The sequence below is a fragment of the Homo sapiens genome, chromosome 2 (genome assembly GCF_000001405.40).
Source record: "Homo sapiens chromosome 2, GRCh38.p14 Primary Assembly".
In the NCBI taxonomy this organism is placed as follows: Eukaryota; Metazoa; Chordata; class Mammalia; order Primates; family Hominidae; genus Homo; species Homo sapiens.
In genome coordinates this window covers 37,244,743-37,263,553 of record NC_000002.12, presented here as the reverse complement: position 1 = coordinate 37,263,553, position 18,811 = coordinate 37,244,743, and the positions used below count along the sequence as shown (strand labels likewise).

The 18,811-nt window shown below is 37.0% G+C and overlaps 2 protein-coding genes across 28 annotated transcripts in view; one reads left to right on the top strand and one right to left on the bottom strand.

Moving 5' to 3' along the window:
• PRKD3 (protein kinase D3) overlaps nt 1-13,052 on the top strand; it is a 74,332-nt gene extending 61,280 nt beyond the window's left edge. For 8 of the 9 annotated variants that reach the window (XM_005264238.4, NM_005813.6, XM_047443853.1 and 5 more), the window contains 5 exons: nt 3,170-3,331; nt 3,873-3,971; nt 6,625-6,892; nt 9,265-9,350; nt 10,204-13,052. In XM_005264238.4, coding sequence (XP_005264295.1) covers nt 3,170-3,331; nt 3,873-3,971; nt 6,625-6,892; nt 9,265-9,350; nt 10,204-10,377 — 789 coding nt within the window. In that variant the 3' untranslated portion in view covers nt 10,378-13,052. Of the gene's footprint in view, nt 1-3,169; nt 3,332-3,872; nt 3,972-6,624; nt 6,893-9,264; nt 9,351-10,203 lie in introns of those variants that run through there. The other variant, XM_047443856.1, reaches the window with a different exon arrangement.
• NDUFAF7 (NADH:ubiquinone oxidoreductase complex assembly factor 7) overlaps nt 1-18,811 on the bottom strand; it is a 39,708-nt gene that overhangs the window by 7,812 nt on the left and 13,085 nt on the right. For 10 of the 19 annotated variants that reach the window (NR_146403.2, NR_146407.2, NR_146401.2 and 7 more), the window contains 3 exons: nt 17,359-17,502; nt 15,925-16,098; nt 14,394-15,419 (listed from right to left, as the gene is read on the bottom strand). Coding sequence is in view for 7 of the 19 variants with exons in the window: in NM_144736.5 (NP_653337.1) it covers nt 15,204-15,419; nt 15,925-16,098; nt 17,359-17,502 (534 nt within the window). In the remaining 12 variants the exon portion in view is untranslated. Of the gene's footprint in view, nt 1-1,190; nt 5,239-7,088; nt 10,469-14,393; nt 15,420-15,924; nt 16,099-17,358; nt 17,503-18,811 lie in introns of those variants that run through there. The other 9 variants (NR_146406.2, NR_146408.2, XR_007077549.1 and 6 more) reach the window with 4 other exon arrangements.

The following is an 18,811-nucleotide window of genomic DNA, read 5'->3' as shown; positions in this document are numbered from 1 at the left end:
ATTTATAAAGAAAAACTAAAAACAAGGAGAAACAGACAAACACATCAGTAGTCCATGAGAAATGGAGTAGACAAAAATAATTAAGAACGTACAAGGTCTAAACATAGTAAGGTAGATCTAAGCAGATTATACTGACCTCTGTACCCTAAAAACAAAGAATGCCTCATTAATTCAAAAAAGCAGTCGTATAAACAGTATTCTTTGATCTCAATGCATTAAAGCAGAAATAAATTACAAAATCAGAAAACAAGCTCCTACATGAAAACTTTAAAATACTAATTTTTGAATCAAAGAGCGAAATCAAAATTTCAGAATATTTAGAAAACCTGAAAATACTGCATATATATCAGCGCCTTTGTACTGTCTTTCAGAAAAAGCTTTATAACCTCAAATATTAAGCAAGAAAGAATGAAAATAAGTGAATTAAGAATCTAACTCAAGGAGTTGAAGAATGAACAATAAAATAAACCTAAAGAAAGCAGAAAGGAATAACAGATCAAAAATGAAAATTAATAAATACAGAAAAGAAATAATAAAGCCAAAAGCTGGTTTGCTGTGTGGGGGAAGGGAGGAGGTATGTAAAAATAAAATGGCCATCCTAAGCAAAGAAGAATATACAAAATGATCTTAGGGAGATAACCACAAATACGGGGGGGGGAAGGAATCTTAGGATACTTTGCTCATCTCTATCAGATAAATTTGGAAACTTGGAGAAAATGGGTAATTCTCAATGAAAGTATAACTTACTAAAACATACTCCAGAGGAAATAGAAAATGTAAACCAATAGAGGAAGTTGTTAAGGGAGAAAAATAATGTTACAGCATACTTCTATTTTTGTGTGTCCACGTGTTTTTAAAGGAGGGCAGGGGGGAAAAAGCATAGAGCCAGCCAACTATGGCCTAGCAAAACAGTCACATTTCAACCTCTGTTGATAAAAGTTATAATATTCTGAATCTTACACTGCTTATTGCCATTGTCACACCCCACCACTATGGGGTATTTGAGTTTCATTTATCTACTATAAAATGTTGTCATTTTGTATTTTGCTGCTTGGAAAACGATCTCATAAAATGGGTTTAAAATGATTAGCAAACAAGTCTATTTTGCATTTGTTGTTATTTCACTTTCTAAACATTTTTGAAAACACCTACTATGATGCAGATATTGAGCTAAAATAACTGAAACAATCTGTGCCTCAGAGAGTTTATTAAACAATGGAGTAGAATACACACATTATTACAATACAGTGGAAACTATTGCAGTAGTCCCAAAGAGAGAGAATGTGGGCTAAAATTAAGGCTTCAAGAAACATCTTAGACATGGAACTCAGCCTCACATAGGCCAAAAACATGTGAGTCCCCCTAGCATAATCAGCTAGCCATATTAAGGAAAAAAGCTAAAGAAAAATGTACAGGATGCTCCTCATTTTGCGACGGGGTCATATCTCCATAAACCCATCTTAAGTTTGAAAATAACTAAGTAGATAAAAATACCTCCTGAACACAACTTAGCCCCGTGTAGCCTACCTTAAGCACAGTCGCTTACATTAGCCTACAGTTGGGCAAAATCATCTAACACAAAGACCATTTTACACTAATGTGTTGAATATCTTATGTAATTTATGAATACTCAAAAAAACGGAATGGTTGTGCAGGTATTCAAAATACGTTTTTTACTGAATGAATGCATACCACTTTTGTACCATTCTACAGTTGAAAAATTGTAAGTTGAACCATTGTTAAGTTGGGGACCGTCTGGGTTTTTTTGTTTTTGAGATAGAGTTTTGCTCTTGTTGCCCAGGCTAGAGTGCAATGGCGCAATCTCAGCTCACCGCAACCTCTGCCTCCCAGGTTCAAGCAATTCTCCTGCCTCAGCCTCCCGAGTAGCTGGGATTACAGGCTTGCGCCACCACACCCGGCTAATTTTGTATTTTTAGTAGAGACTAGGTTTCTCCATGTTGGTCAGGCTGGTCTCGAACTCCCGATCTCAGGTGATCCGCCTGCCTTGGCCTCGCAAAATGTTGGGATTACAGGCGTGAGCCACCGCGCCCGGCCTTTTTTTTATTTGAGACAAAGTCTCGCTCTGTCTCCCAGGCTGGAGTGCAATGGCATGATCTCGGCTCACTGCAGCCTCCACCTCCCAGGTTCAAGTGATTCTCCTGCCTCAGCCTCCCGAGTAGCTGGGTTTACAGATACCTGTCACCACACCTGGTTAGTTTTTGTATTTTTGGTAGAGACAGGATTTCACCGTGTTTGCTACGCTGGTCTCGAACTCCTGACCTCAAATGATCCACCTGCCTCGGCTTCCCAAAGTGCTGGGATTACAGGCGTGAGCCACCACACCCAGCCTGTATCTTTATTAATAAGGAATAAAAATTGTTTAAGCACTTGGTTCATTCAGTAGAACATATTTAAGATTAAATTGGAAGACTGAAACCAGGTTATTGAAGATCTCAAAATGTTGACAAAGGAATTTAGATTTATGTCCAGAAATAAAGAGCCACTGAAGGTGTTTGAGCAAGGCTGACTTCATGAATTTGTTTTTGAGGAAGGATTTTCTGTAGTAGAACAAAAGATAAATTGCTTTTTTATAAGCATAAATAGTATGGCATTCATCTTTGTGTATCTCCAACCCTTGTAACCTAGTTGTGATCAAGAAACATGATAATGTGGGTAGAGATGTTGAGCCTAAAAAAAGGGAATTAATGATTATAATATTATAAGAATCAAGACTTAGATAAATAACTACCTTAGAAATAAAACTCTTAAGCAAATACCATCACAAATACAGCCCCCAAGAGTCAAAGGTTTCTGTGTAATTGACTAAAAATTTATGGGCAGTTGGTGCCTATTCAGGGAAAGCATGAAATTAGAGCAGTGTCAGATTTTTCAAGTGAGAAGGAAGGAAAAGTAGTAGTAATGGACAAGAGTGATTATATAATCAAATTAGGAGAACATTCTATCCCCTCAGTGCGGCTACTCTCCAGTACACAACTTGGAGAATTAAAACCTAAGATCCTTTTCATTGATTGTAATTTTTATTTTGTTTGCTTTGTTTACTTCTCTAGGCTTTCTTTCTGTGCCATTTCAGACAATCATAGCACATCTAGATATTAGTAAAACTGTTTCTCTGCTTAAGTTGCTCATGTATCTTGCAACCTCTCTTCAGAATTTGCACCATCCTGGGATTGTAAACCTGGAATGTATGTTTGAAACCCCAGAACGAGTCTTTGTAGTAATGGAAAAGCTGCATGGAGATATGTTGGAAATGATTCTATCCAGTGAGAAAAGTCGGCTTCCAGAACGAATTACTAAATTCATGGTCACACAGGTATTTTAACTCCTTTTTTTTTTTAAACTAGCGATTAAAAACTAATTTTTTTTTTTTTAAGACAAGAGTCTTACTCTGTCACCTGGGCTGGAGTGCAGTGGTGCAATCTGGCTCACTGCAACCTCTGCCTCCTGGATTCAAGTGATTCTCATGCCTCAGCCTCCCAAGTATCTAGGATTGCAGATGTGTGCCACCACGCCTGGCTAATTTTTGTATTTTTAGTAGAGCTGGGGTTTCACCGTGTTGGCCAGGCTGGTCTCGAACTCCTTGCCTCAAGTGATCCACCTGCCTAGGTCTCCCAAAGTGCTGGGATTACAGGCATGAGCCACTGTATCCAGCTAAAAACTAAAATAATTAAATAGCAGTACTTTTACATGTTGGGTGATTGTGGGAATTGTTAACCTTAAGGAGCAGAATAACACACTTTTAGCTAAGTCTTGATGAACTATAGTGGAGTTTTCAAATTAAATCATTCAAGGAGTCACATGAGGTTTACTTGTGATTTTCCAGACATTGAAAAGAAAATCTTTTTTCATAACAGATACTTGTTGCTTTGAGGAATCTGCATTTTAAGAATATTGTGCACTGTGATTTAAAGCCAGAAAATGTGCTGCTTGCATCAGCAGAGCCATTTCCTCAGGTGAGATATTCTCCAGAACCTTTTAAATGATTCTGGCAACATTTTCAAAGCACCCACATAATAAAAGGCAGTGTACTAAGTACTGTTGGTTAAAAATGCATACCACCTTACAAAAATAGTTTTTAGCCTGTAACTACCAGTGAGGATTAATAACTAAATGAATTCAGATGTTATTAGTTATACTGTTTATATTCAAGATTTTTTAAGATTTAACTGCACATAGATTCTGCAATTCACCTCTCCCCAGGGGCTGGGAACGAAGTGAGCAAGTATCAACCTTGGTTGGTGCATGGTACTTAGGATAAATACCTCATAAATAAAACAAATGGGGTGTTACTGGAAATGGGAGATAGATTTTGGTTGAGGCAGGCAGCCACCTCCTTTTTCTATGTAGAGTATTGTATTCAAACAACCTACATAAAATAACATTTCTCATCACCACACATACACACAATGGCATCGTGCTTCTGTGTCCTGGCTACATGTAGCACTCTCTGATTTTTCTTAATTCAGTTGAGTTTTTTTTTTTTCCAAGTGTTCATCTTGATCCACTAAATTTATTGCATGACCTATGAAATGGATCATAACCCAAATTCTGAAACAACCATCCTGAGAAATAAGTGGTGGTGGTGGTACCCTGCAGCCATTTTCCATAATTGGCAAGGATGATTCCTCCGATCAGCTCAAATATCTGTTGCCAAACTATTGTTTATATACATTTGAAACATGTACATTTAGACAAATGGCAAGACTAAGGACAACAGATAGGTGTTTTCACTTGGTAAATATAACTCAAATTGTCTTTTCAAATAAAAAGATATATTAAAAATCGTTCAGCTTTTAAAGTAGTAATCATATTCTTTTTATGTTTATGTGGTTAAAAGTGATTCCCTATCATTTTGAGGTCGAAAGGGTTGCCTGATAGTTGGTGCAATGTTTTAAATAAACTGCTTCCATATATTATCTCATTTGATCTTCAAAATAGTAGACAAAAGATGCACACTCCTACTGGTAACATTAAAACTCCCACTTTCTGACCTCTATTTTAGTGATCCACAGTGTTCCAATGAGAAGCAAAGGGAAAATAATGTGATTTACTTGATACGCTTTTTATGCTCAAGTGTTAGCCATGGCTCCACTTCTTTAATCAGTTGCCAAACTTCCAAGTCATCTTTACCTTATCAAGATGTTAGCTGAAATCTGGCATTTAACAACAAAAAAAGAGTTTGTATTTCTTCAGGCTCAGTATTCGTACTCTTCAAAGACACTGAAATCGAGAAGCAGCCAGATTCAGTAATGATTTTGAGCAAATATCATTCATAAAAATATGTGTCAGAGTCCACCATCCCAGAAATAGCAGCATTTGATAACTTCACTTCGTTTTCTAGGCACTGTTTGTACCACTGTTTTCTACAGCTTAAATCTTTTTCCTCTCAATTTATATTAATGCTTTTGCTAAAGACATTTTTTAAGTCAGAGCATTTCCTCCAGAAAGTACCTGGCATTTGCTTGTTCAGCATGGATGTGGTCATTAATCCCCCAGATTTGAGCCTCTAGAAAAATCTGGGCAGCAAGATAAGTGTTCTGAGTTCTGCCAAGCTCATCAACTTCTAGAACTCTCTTTTGAGAGGATGTGGTAGTGACTATGGCTCCCTTTACATATAACTGTTTTCAAATCTAAACATCTAACTAGAAATAATTTGTTCCACAGTGATAGAAAAGTGTTGCTGTTACTCACTGGGGCAGTCTCCAGCATTATTCCACTGGTGTCCCCATTTAAAATTACCTTTAATACACCTCAGTTTTATTTACTTGCCAGTTTATAACATCCTTAGGAAAAGAGATTCTAGGATTAAGCAAAACAAGGGATGTTTTTAAATACTGTAACTTTTTTTTTTTTTTTTTTTTTTTCTTTTGAGACAGAGTCTTCACTCTGTCGCCCAGGCTGGATTGCAGCGGCGTAATCTCGACTCACTGCAAGCTCTGCCTCCTGGGTTCACGCCATTCTCCTGCTTCAGCCTCCCAAGTAGCTGGGACTACAGGCACCCGCCACCACGCCAGGCTAATTTTTTTGTATCTTCAGTAGAGACGGGGTTTCACCGCATTAGCCAGGATGGTCTCAATCTCCTGACCTCGTGATCCGCCCGCCTCGGCCTCCCAAAGTGCTGGGATTACAGGTGTGAGCCACCACACCTGGCTAATACTGTAACTTATTTTTCCTTCAGCAAACATTGAGTACCTTTATGTGTCCAGGCACTGTGAGGCCACTAAGGATTCAGAAATGAAACAATTCCTGCTCACAGATGATGGAAGAGTGATCTTACAAGACAAATGATAGAAAGCAGCATACTCTATTTCATAAGAAATCAGAACACTTATAACACCAGTCTGGTATTTGGTATTCTGGAAGCTAGAACTTTTGAAATATGTACTAGGAAAGCTCTTCATACTGTGTCAGTCAGGATCACAGGGCTATAAATGTGTCTGCCTTTTGAGAAAAGGATATTTTACAATTTCCTTATCTGTGATTAATATTCATAATCAGTAGAGCTGGCAAGTATGTTGAAATGATACATACAGTGTTATATTTAGGGACAGGTAGTTACATATATAACACTATAATACAAAATTAACATCATCCTTCAATTTCCAGGTGAAGCTGTGTGACTTTGGATTTGCACGCATCATTGGTGAAAAGTCATTCAGGAGATCTGTGGTAGGAACTCCAGCATACTTAGCCCCTGAAGTTCTCCGGAGCAAAGGTTACAACCGTTCCCTAGATATGTGGTCAGTGGGAGTTATCATCTATGTGAGCCTCAGTGGCACATTTCCTTTTAATGAGGATGAAGATATAAATGACCAAATCCAAAATGCTGCATTTATGTACCCACCAAATCCATGGAGAGAAATTTCTGGTGAAGGTAAAAAAAAAAAAAAAAAAAAAAAAAAAAAAATTTTGGCTATGTGTTTTAAGCCTAAACATCTTTCTCATCCCAAATCAGTCTGTCTCTTGCAACTTATCTTTTTAGTACATCTCCCATTCATCTTCCAAATTCAACTAGTTACCAGTTTTTTGAGCACTCTTCTTTTTATACTTTTATCTGTGTCTTCTGTATAGTTCCCAGGCATAGCACTTACATAGGCCCCAGTGGCCTCATTGTCAAACCACTAAAATATCTTTTTAACTGTCTTACCTGTTAAACTCTTTTCTGGTCCTTCCTAGTCACTACTGCCAAATCTATCTTCAGGAAACATTACTTTCATTTATGGTGCTCCCAAACACTTCTCTTTAACCACCTTACAGGCATAGTTATCTGTGATATGGTCCATGCTTACCTTCTAGCCTCATCTCCCACTACTCCCTACACAAACCTAGTTGTTTACTCTTCTGAACTGTTTTCTGCAATTTGCTTGGGACTGTTTTTCCCTTGTCTACAATCCTTCCTATTAAAATTCGAGGACCCCTTAATTTGTGGCTCATCTATAAAGTTCCCTGACTACTCCTCTACACTGCAGAATTTACTTAGGCTAAAAAACATTTGGGCTTTTTTATTATCTTTTTTTATTTTTATTGAGACGGGGTCTCCCTCTGTCACCCAGGCTGAAGTGTGCACAAACACAGCTCACTGCAGCCTCGACTTCCTGGGCTCAAGTGATCCTCCCACCTCAGCCTCCTGACTAGGTGGGATGATGGGTATGCACCATGGGCCACCCACACCTGGCTAATTTTTAAATTTTTTGTAGAGATGGGGTCCCACTATGTTGCCCAGGCTGGTGTCAAACTCTTGCACTCAATTGATCTTCCCAACTTGACCTCCCAAAGTGCTGGGATTACAGGCATGAGCCACTGCACCCAGCCCCATTTTTTTCTTAAGTATTCATTCTTTTCATAATTGACTTTTCTAATCTTCAGAACAAGACTGTGAGCTCCGTGAATGAATACCTAGCTCCGGTTCCTTATACCTAGAATGAACTTTATAATCACCAGACACACTGCAGTTTGTTTTCCTCTCTCCTGTGGACCTCTGCTGGGAAGCTGCATACATCTCTTTTTCCTGCCTAGTGAAGGCTTTTGAATTTGCAACTCCTGGTTCTGTACCCGTCAAGAATAAGTTGGCTGGCCCTCTTTAGTCTGCTGATACTGATAGGAAGGACAAGTACACTACTTAAAACATTATTTAACTGCCCCATAGAAGTTAATAGAACCAGTGCTGGGGAATACCCCCATCTGGATTTAACCAGCCCATGTAATAGGTAGATCTTTTTTGTTTTTCCAAAAGTACTAGGCCTAATCATAGGATTAACTAATATTCCATCAAACTGGGAAAAGTTTAAGAACAACATGTGAAGACAGTAGCAGGTTTGCTTGGTAATGAAGAAAGCTAATTGAAGAAGCTCATAAGAGATGTTTTTTGATGTTAACCAGTGTTATCTCAGACCTCCTGAGGCAGTGTGTTCTGTAGACCTCTTCTATCAGAATCACTTTGCTAGTTTGGTAGTATAGAGACAAGAAATAGAACTAGGATGGTACAAGTCTTTCCATTTGGTTCGTGTCTGGGTCTAGCCTTTTGTTACCAATATTTCAAATGTACCATTATATAGGGCTGTAGTTAGTATGTAGTTATTGGTTGCCTTGGTTTTGCAATTGATCATTCTCCAAATAAGTGAATAAAATATATATACCAAGAACTCACCATGTACACTAAAACACCCTGAAACCTATTTGTTAAAAGTGTAAACTTTTGGTAGTTAAGCTACCACCTCAATGTGACCATATATAGAGGCAAGGCAGTGCCTTTCCAGACCAAGTCAGGGACTAGAGTGCTCTCTAGCATTGGAGCGGGGTGGGGAGGATCAGAGAGTCTGTTTCATTCATCTTCAAATAATAATAGTTAATACTTAGCACTTATGTGCTAAGCACTGTTCTAAGCCCTTAACATATGTCAGCAACTTCATGAGGAAACTGAGGCATAATATAATTTAGTAACTGACCCAGTATCACACAGCTAGTAGGTGGCAGAACCAGACTTCAGCCCAGGCAGTCAGGTTCCAGAGTATATACTTTAACCTGTACTCTATACTGCCTTATAAAGGCAATGAAAATTTGACAGATACACTTAAATCAGTAAACATTTATGATTCATTTTACATGTTAGCTAAAAGTCCACGTCCTTGAGAAGCAAAAATTCCTCAACCCTGTATTTCTATGGGTTGAACTGCCTTCTAGGCAGTCACAAGTTTGGGGTACTCTGTGCACCCAAATTCATGTATCTTGTTTTGTCTTTTCCCTTAGCAATTGATCTGATAAACAATCTGCTTCAAGTGAAGATGAGAAAACGTTACAGTGTTGACAAATCTCTTAGTCATCCCTGGCTACAGGTAAAAAAAAATGTAATCTCTCTTTGGCAATCCTCATTTGAGTAGTTCACTCTGATTTGTCCCACCTAATGAGACCACTCTAAGATCAGCAGAATAATAAAAGTGCTCTTAAGTGATTAATTTGTACTATGGCTGAATCTCTGGAAACCATACAGCATTCAGATCGGTAATGACAGGCAATTAAACTCCCATGAACTGAAAGCAATGACTTAGCCTTTCATAGACCTATGTGTTCATTTCACCTTTTTGTAAGATTAGTATGACATATTAATTTATCAAATTTATTTTAAATGTCTACTGAAGGATTTATTTTTGCATTGAAGAGATTTTTTAAAAATGTTTGGCTTAATTCTCCCAAAGTTACTTTATAGATTTATCAAAAGATACCCTCCAAACTTCAGAGTAAGGAGGGAAGCTTTAGAACTATTTTATAGGGAGTGAGAGGCAGAATTAGCTTTAAAACAAATGTAATCTCATCTACCAGTTACTAAATTATCCTAATAAGCATCCAAGCACTTTCCCCCACTTTGAGTAAGGTTTAGGCCTCACGTTGTATAGAACAAAATGTTTTAGTGATTATTATTAGCCACCTAAGAAGCCTGAAGCAAATTTTTTTTAATTTCAGAAATTAGTTACGTTCATTCATTGGAGACTCTGAGTTTGAAAAATTTCTTTAAATTGCTCATTTAAAATATCACAAGTAGAACTTAGTACATAGTAGATACTTATGAGTAGCGCCTGTCAATTATTTGACTAGGGCACTAAACAACAACAAAAAAAAACACAAAACAAAAACCAGGTTGACAGTATTTTGTTTCTTTTGTTTCATCATTACAATTTCATTTTCTCCTAGGACTATCAGACTTGGCTTGACCTTAGAGAATTTGAAACTCGCATTGGAGAACGTTACATTACACATGAAAGTGATGATGCTCGCTGGGAAATACATGCATACACACATAACCTTGTATACCCAAAGCACTTCATTATGGCTCCTAATCCAGATGATATGGAAGAAGATCCTTAATCACTGAGCTAACCTAAATAAGGAAGGATTTCATTTTATGGACTGATATTTTGCTGTGTAACTTGTTCTTTGTAGATTGTCATCTGCAGTGCTGCAAAGATATGAAGAAATATGATAACGAATAAGTGACACCAGTACTGTAGTTCATAATGAGTAGGTACAGGCGGGAAACTGAATAATAAGAAGTCATAATGGAATCAAGGTGAAGCTTTTTATAAACTTTTTTAGCCTAAGCAATAACTGGTTTTGTATTTTTTCTTAATCCTTCACTTTAATACAATAGGCTCACTTAATTTGTCTTCCCATTTCTCTTTATATATATATATATAAATATAAATATATGTTTGTTTGTTTTTTTAATGAAAAACAAGTCAAGCTAGCATCCAGTTACTATATAGCTTGGCTAAATTATACAAGACTTACAAGATTGATTACTCGACAGGCTTGTATTTAAGAGGTAACTGTGAGGTTACCATTATGTGATGTTACTATAAGGACTTTTAACATTGGTTTAACAAACCATAGAGGCATTGAAGGGTTTTTCTTAGATGCCTAGAAAAAGCGCACTGGGCTGTTTTACCTTTCTTTTTTAGGTCAATCAAGACTCCAAAATAGTGATTCCTAACCTTTTTGGAGTTGCTCTGCTACTCTGAATATGTTCTATACAGCATAAGGATTGTCACCTTCTGTGTGTTGCAACAGCTTCTAAGATAATTAGGGACAAATGATGTTACAAAAGGAAGAGTACTGCTGGTCTAAGTGCTGAGTTGTATGTCTTTGCATAGCTCCACTCTGCTGCTAAATATGCATGTTCTGACTGACACCATCTTGATGCCAGTACTGGATTCCAGCATTCAGCAGGTGCAGATCTCGGCTTTACACAATTTATCTTTACCTAGGGTTCAGTCAGTAATTTCTGCTTTTTAGCAGGGCCAGTGCAGGGTCAGTTAATGCTACAGTTACTGTATAGCAAACAGTATCCTTTTTTCTCCTTCCCCTAGCCTATTGGGCTTTGCAGATATCTGGAGTGTTTTAAAGTCAATTATTTTAAGCAGTTTGAGGGGATGTGTAGGAGTGGAGCATGAAACAGTTTATAAGGCTGGGGCTGTATTATCAGCACAGCAAATTAAAGAATGAAAGAAGTACTTCTTTTTACATTTCAGCTCCAGCAGCCAGCTATTTAAAAAATATTTTTAAATATCTTCCCCAAAGTTTAAGATGTGGGACCATCTACTTGTAAGAAACAGTGGCTTATTTCTTCATTTCTCAGTAATCATTGTAAACCTTTTTTTTTTTCTTCTCCACTCTAACAAAAGTAAAAGAACAAAACTTTTGCTGAGGTCTTGGACTCCACTACTTGTTAGTTATGTTGGCCTGGACAGATGGCAGGTCTGTCGGCAGTTCCTCAGTCTGTAAAATGAAGATTATCATTCTTGCCTCTCCCTTTGTCACAGTGTTGTCGTGAAGATCAGATATGTATGAATGCAGTCAAATAAACTAAAAACTAGGAAAGTGTTAACTATCGTTGCCCACCGAATTTGAGGTAGCAAAAAAAAAAAAGAATGTTCTGGTACATGAACAGACTGAGAAGGCCTTTCGACATCCCTGAAGCTAGTCTCCTGTCTAGACTAAAAATATCCTTGAAAGAATAGTAGCAAACAGTATGCAGTACTCCTGTGTTCTAAGTTCTTTTATGTTTTAGTTTACCCTCACAGCAGCCATAGTGTTAAGTCATTATGAGCTTCATCTTAAAGATAAGAAAACTGAGGCAAGGGGAGATTAACTTACTGCCAAATTTCAAACAGTTAGTAGTATTTGAGACCAGTAGTATGGCTCTAATCTTACCCTTAGCCCTCCCAACCATTATGCTGTACTATCTACCCATAAATACCTCCAGGAAACATTCCCCTCTTGGTAATTTGTCCTTCTATAGAAGCTTCAAAGATTAAATCAAATTAATTTTCAAAAAAAATTTTTTTTTAGAAATGTTATTTTCCCTGTGATAGAGGATGACTTCCCAGTTTCACCAAAGTCTGTTTATATCAACACACACAAAATGGAATAATTCTGAGTCACTAGGCAATCAATCTACTGTGGTTTTACTATGTAAGGTGAAAATTAACTGGAACGATGTTTGTTTGCTATACTTACATAGTCAAACTTTACAAGCCATGAAATTAATTGCACTCTTTGTATTTGTTGTTAAATGCCTAAGAAGTTTTCTAAAAATTTTGTAAAGGCACTGTCAGAGAATCTGGAGTTGAATGATTATTCCAGATACTGTATAACCTGCATAACTTTTTGTCTTTAAGTCGTGTTTGTAAAAGAAGTAATTGCTAGAAACATTTGATAATGTACAAAGTAGTCTATAATGACTGTTCAGTACATTTTTAATATTTTTTTGGTTATATCCAACTTTTTGTAAATATACTGGAAGCTTGATAATAAAATGTATTTCCTATCACCATACTTTTCCATGTGAAAACCTGAGCCTATTTCTAGTATAAGTATCCAAAGAAAAGTTTGACCTGGTTGTGTTATTTTACCAGACCTTGGTAAAAGAACTATTTTGGAAACAGTATTTGTAAATGGAACTAATGCTATATTTAAAAACACTGATTTTTTTTTAACCTGCCAAAAATAAAAAAAAGCTCATTTTATAATTTTCTACTAAATTTGAGTTGATTATCTGGAGGTCTCATTTCTTGTAAAGTATAACTTTTTCAGAAACTACCACCAAATTATCCAACTGTTATACTACCAGAAGGCTTTAAAAAGTTAAAAACCTAATATCAAACTTTCTAGGTGTTAAGATATAAGGCATTGCCTGACTCTAGCCCCTTAATTATAAAAACTTTAACATATCTGAGAGGAGCCAACTATGGACGTTTAACTCATCTTTCAAAAATTCTCCCAACCAAGTCTTTGAAAAAAGAAAACAAATACAGGAATCTAGAATGAGAACAACTAGGAGTGGCCCGAGGCTGGGCAGCATCTGAAAAGCAAGGCCTCCGTCTTCCTTTACTTTAGTGCAGGGGTGTCTAATCTTTTAGGTCCTAGCCACATTGGAAGAACTGTCTTGTGCCACACATAAAATACACCACCACTAATGATAGCTAATGAGCTTGAAAAAAAAATTGCAAAAAAAAATCTCATAATGTTTTAAGAAAGCTTACATATTTGTGTTGGTCCACATTCAAAGGCTACATGACATGGCCATGTAGTGTGGACAGAATGCTACTCCTGTCAAGCAGAAGCAGCAATAAAAAGCAACAGTTCATCACTGCCAATGAACTTCTGATACAGTTAAGCCGTAAATTCAAGACATCAAGGGAAAGTATTCTTTCCCTTTAATCTCCCTTGTAAATCTGTGTTGCTAATTAATAATTCTCTAACTCTTTGTTTCCAGTATTAACACACAGCTTCTAACAACCAAAAAATGAAAACATAATACAGAACTAAAATTTGACATTTATCTGAAAATTATTCCTCCTAGGCTGTGTGTGTGTGTGTGTGTGTGTGTGTGTGTGTGTCTCTATCACAGGCTACAGTGCAACGGAGCGATCTCCCCTCTGTGTGTGTGTGTGTGTGTGTGTGTGTGTGTGTGTGTGTGTGTGTCTATCACAGGCTAGAGTGCAACGGAGCAATCTCCCCTCACTGCAACCTCCGCCTCCCGGGTTCAAGCGATTATCCTACCTCAGCCTCGTGAGTAGCTAGGATTACAGGCGCCCACCACCACACCAGGCTAATTTTTGTATTTTTAGTAGAAATGGGGTTTCACCATGTTGGCCAGGCTGGTCTCCAACTCATATTTGAACTACATGTCAAGATTTACTGTTTCTTACTGTGACCTTCATAATTTTTTAAAAAATGCACAGATGCACAATGTAAGAAATTCAAATACCCAGCCACACCCTGCCCCTCAAAGTCACTTCCAAATTGGGAAAATTGTGCATTCATTCCTTACTTTGTATGCAAGTACATATCACAGAAAACAACCAGTGTACACTAGTGTATTCGTTTCTATGAAATTACTCGTATTTATTTAGTTTTTCTCCTTCAACAAAAATGGAATCAACTATAAAAACTCTTGCATCCTACTTTTTTTCACTTACTAAATCTTAGAGAGTTTTCTGTCAAAACATATTGCCCTAGCTCATTTAAAAAAATAACATATATCTTATCAGTTTCCTGTGAATAGCCATTTAGTCTGTTTCCCATTTTTATTAAAACAATCAGTGCCCATGTTTACTTTTTTTTTTGAGAGGGATTTTTGCTCTTGTTGCCCAGGCTGGAGTGCAGTGGCACGATCTCAGCTCACCGCAACCTCCACCTCCCAGGTTCAAGTGATTCTCCTGTCTCAGCCTCCTGAGTAGCTGGGATTACAGGCATGTACCACCATACCCGGCTAGTTTTGTATTTTTAGTAGAGATGGGGTTTCTCCATTTTGGTCAGGCTGGTCTTTAACTGCTGACCTCAGGTGATATGCCCACCTCAGCCTCCCAAAGTGCTGGGATTACAGGCATGAGCCACCACGCCCAGCCGCATGTTTACTTTTTAAAATAAAATAGAAATATGGCAACTAGCTTTGTAAGTTAAAGGAAACTCAGTTTCACAATAACTTATTAGCTTGAGCACACATTTGCACCAAAGCCAGTCACAACCCTAAAAGTTCTATAATGTTGGTTGTATTATATACAACATGGACTGTTCTTGCTGTGAAAAGATAAAATACTTTGACTTTTGTTACCTGCAGTATATGAAATGTGTTTCCTTTATTTTGATTTCTTGGGCCGACTGAAGGGTAAAATGTCCAAGCTGAAATATCACTGCCAAGCAAGTTCACTAAACCCAGCTACAACGGATGCAAAGGGTTTTGACTGACGTGCATTCCTCTGATATCTTCCACCTTGAAGTCTCTGATGAGGTAGCAAGGCAAAAAAGTTAAATCTCTCTCCCATCTTCTTTGGATTCATTAACATATCATATCCTTGAAGTAACTGCTGCCTCACTGATGGCTCATTTGATTTATCTAAAAGAACCTGAAAAGAAAAAAATTCTTAGCAAAAATAACCAGAAGACAGGATTCCTAGTTACATGCAGCAATACTAATGACTCTCAAATATTCCAATAAAACAGCACTCAAAATGTGACTTCTGATTACCTGCCTGAGAATCATAGAGTACTTATTAAAAATGTAGATTGGTGTGAAACAAACCTAAGGATTTGCATTTTTAACAAATATCCTCAGGGGGTTTGATCTACAGTAAGGTTTAGGTGTTCTCAGAAGAACAGTTAGAAAATTCATACCCATAAACGCAGTTTTCTTAACAAACAAAAACACTATTTGGAAGTCTTAATGCTACCTCCCATGGAGATGCATAAAACTTACCAGACTAGTTACTAAATCCTATACTACCTGAAAAGACTGGAATACCAAGGATTGGCTAACTACAAGAGCATTAAGGCCAGGTGAACATACTATTTAAAGTAATTTTTGAAATACTATGAAAGTACTTAATAACAGTGAAATAAAATAAACCTTACCTTCAGCCGGACATCAATACCCATATTTTTTAAAAATGTGTGTTGTTTTATTGGGCCCAGAGAGGCTACTTTTCCCTGTGCCATTCTTCGCAAATAACTGAAGTCCACATCAGCTGTTAGATCTGCTGTTCCTGGGGCAATTAAGACATCATGAAGCTTGTGGTCGCAAAACCCCTTGAACATAAAGAAATCAGATTTTTGCCCTTTTATGGTTATTAAGATTAAAGAAATGCTATCATATTAAAGTTATTTAATATTTACATTAATGCTTGAGGTGACGGAATAGAGCTCTCATTAATTCTCTAGGCAGGGAACACCTAGGCAGTGTTTTACAAAGTATATGCATCAACCATGCATCAGAATCACCTGAGATACACTACAAACTACTACACAGCCATAAAAAAAAATGAAATCACGTCCTTTTCAGCAACGTAGACATAGCTGGAGGCCATTATCCTAAGTGAATTAATGCAGGGACAAAACCAAATACCACATGTACATCTCACTTAGAGCTAAACACTGGGTACACGTGAACATACTTATGGGAACAAACACTGGTGACTACTAGAGGGGAGACAGGAGGAGGGGAACAAGGGCTGAAAATCTATCTACTGAGTACTATGCTTGCCACCTGGGTGACAGGCTCACTCGTACCCCAAACCTCAGAGTCAATGCAATATACCCATGTAACAAATAACAAACCTGCCTCATGTACCCCCTAAATCTAAAATAAAAGTTGAAATTACTTAAAAAAAAATCACCTGAGAATATATTACTGACCCTAACCAGACCTGGTCAGTCAGAATCCTGGAGGTAAGGCTAGAGAATGAGTATTTTCAACAAACTATCCAGGTTATTTTTAGATAAAGTTAGAAATTAAGAACCACAGACCTAGAAAATGACTAAGAGCATTTAGTTAAATGTTTTTCAATTAAAGTATATTGAATAGAATTGATTATATTCAAAGATCATTAAGAAAGGATGTTTAGGAACAGTGTAAAAGAATACATCTGGAAAGGGAAAAAATGTTGAAAATATGATAGAAAAAGCTAGAATGATTACAGTAGGTAGTTTAAATCTGTAAAGAAGTACCAAAATTTTTCTTGAATGAAGGGGGTTACAGATAGGTTTAAGAATGTGAAGAAAATCTTTCCATTTGTATTATTCAGCTGCTTATCTGGATTTATATAAACATAGGTTCTACAACTAAGGAAGAATGTACACAATTCAGATCCTGTTAAAGGAGGGCTGGACAGTAGACTCAGTGTTAGCAGTAAGAACTAGGGTTAAGGGGAATTACAATAACATGAATTAATGTTAACTATAAAATAATGTAATACAACAATACCAGGCACTGTAGAAATCAAAGCTCTTCAATGGGCTTCAGATCTAACACTGAAATTCTGATAAATCATGTTACTGAATTATACATACTCTGAAGGTATCTGTCTTTGTTCCATCATGACCATAATCAGCAACCAGTGCAGCACCTCCAGTTAATGCAATGCGTTGAGAAAGTTCCTCGATGATAACACCAGCATCAGGACACACTTCAACATGATCCCTTGTTTCGTCATGCTAGTAAAGGGATCATTGCAAGAGTCAAAATGCATCATTCAAAAGAATGACTTCCTTACGGTTTTTCAGGTTTTTCCTCAATGAGCATTTCTTAGTTTTAATAAAAATAAATTCTTAATATGAGTATGTTCTCTACACTCAACTTTTCACCTGACTCCCTTTTTATTATACAAAACTCCTTAGTTCTTTGATGCTATCCCACTTGATATACAAAGACATTTTAATCTCTTTTATAAAAAGGCAAATGCCCTCCCAATCCCCCCAGATGGCCTAGAGCATTATCATTTAATGTAAAATTACTTTTGTATCACAAATCATATAAACACATTCCTCTAGGTTGAAAGCATGGGAAAGGGATTTTTTTTGTCTGCCTAGAACAGTGCCAGGCACATAACAGTCAATGAAAATATTGTGCTGAAAGAACAAATGGTATAAATCCAATAACACGAAGCAGACCCTATTAGACAATTATATTATCATGCCCTCTGTTGTGCCAGAAAGTATCCCAATGATATGCCCTACATCAAGAAACGCTGGCTTATAAACTAGTGCCAATGTATTGAAACCGTTATTACCCCAAGATGTCCACTTAACTAAGGGGCCACAATAAGTGTGTACTAGCTTAAAAAGCAAAATCACACTAAGTATTAACACTTGTCAACCTGACTAGTATATATGAAATTTCACTACTTCCTGATCTGATTGAAAATGTGGTATTTCTTTCCCTTCATTATGAAAACATACATTAACTTGTACTCCTTCCTAACACCTTATTATAGAAATGCAGTAATGACCTGCCCTGATGTCTGCCTATGGTAACAGGCATAGAGTCAGATGAAGTTAAATCTCAGCTCTTCCTATGCTTACTGGTAGACAAGTTACTTAAACTTTCTGAGTTGTTTTCTTCCTTATAGATATTGTAGGTTTATTGTGAGGATTAAATATAACTAACCATTTAGCTAATAGTGCAATCAAATTACTGTGGCTTAACTATAAAAACCATGAAGTCAGCCTCATCAGGCATCAGTGGACACGCTGATCATGCTGACATTCTATCTTAGGCTACTCTTCAAGATGACATGTATTACCACGCATCTCATTCAAGTGAAAGAGAATATTCGCTCCCTCCCTTCCTAAGTGAATACTAATTAGGTCAAGAACTAAATGAACTCCCAGGGCCAGGAGGTTAGTTCTTGGTAGTTCTATGAATATGTCATTCAGGTAAACTTAGATTGCTATACTATGAAAAAACAGGTGTTCATAAGTGTTCAGTCTGACATTTAAATTTATACTTAACAAAACTTAATTC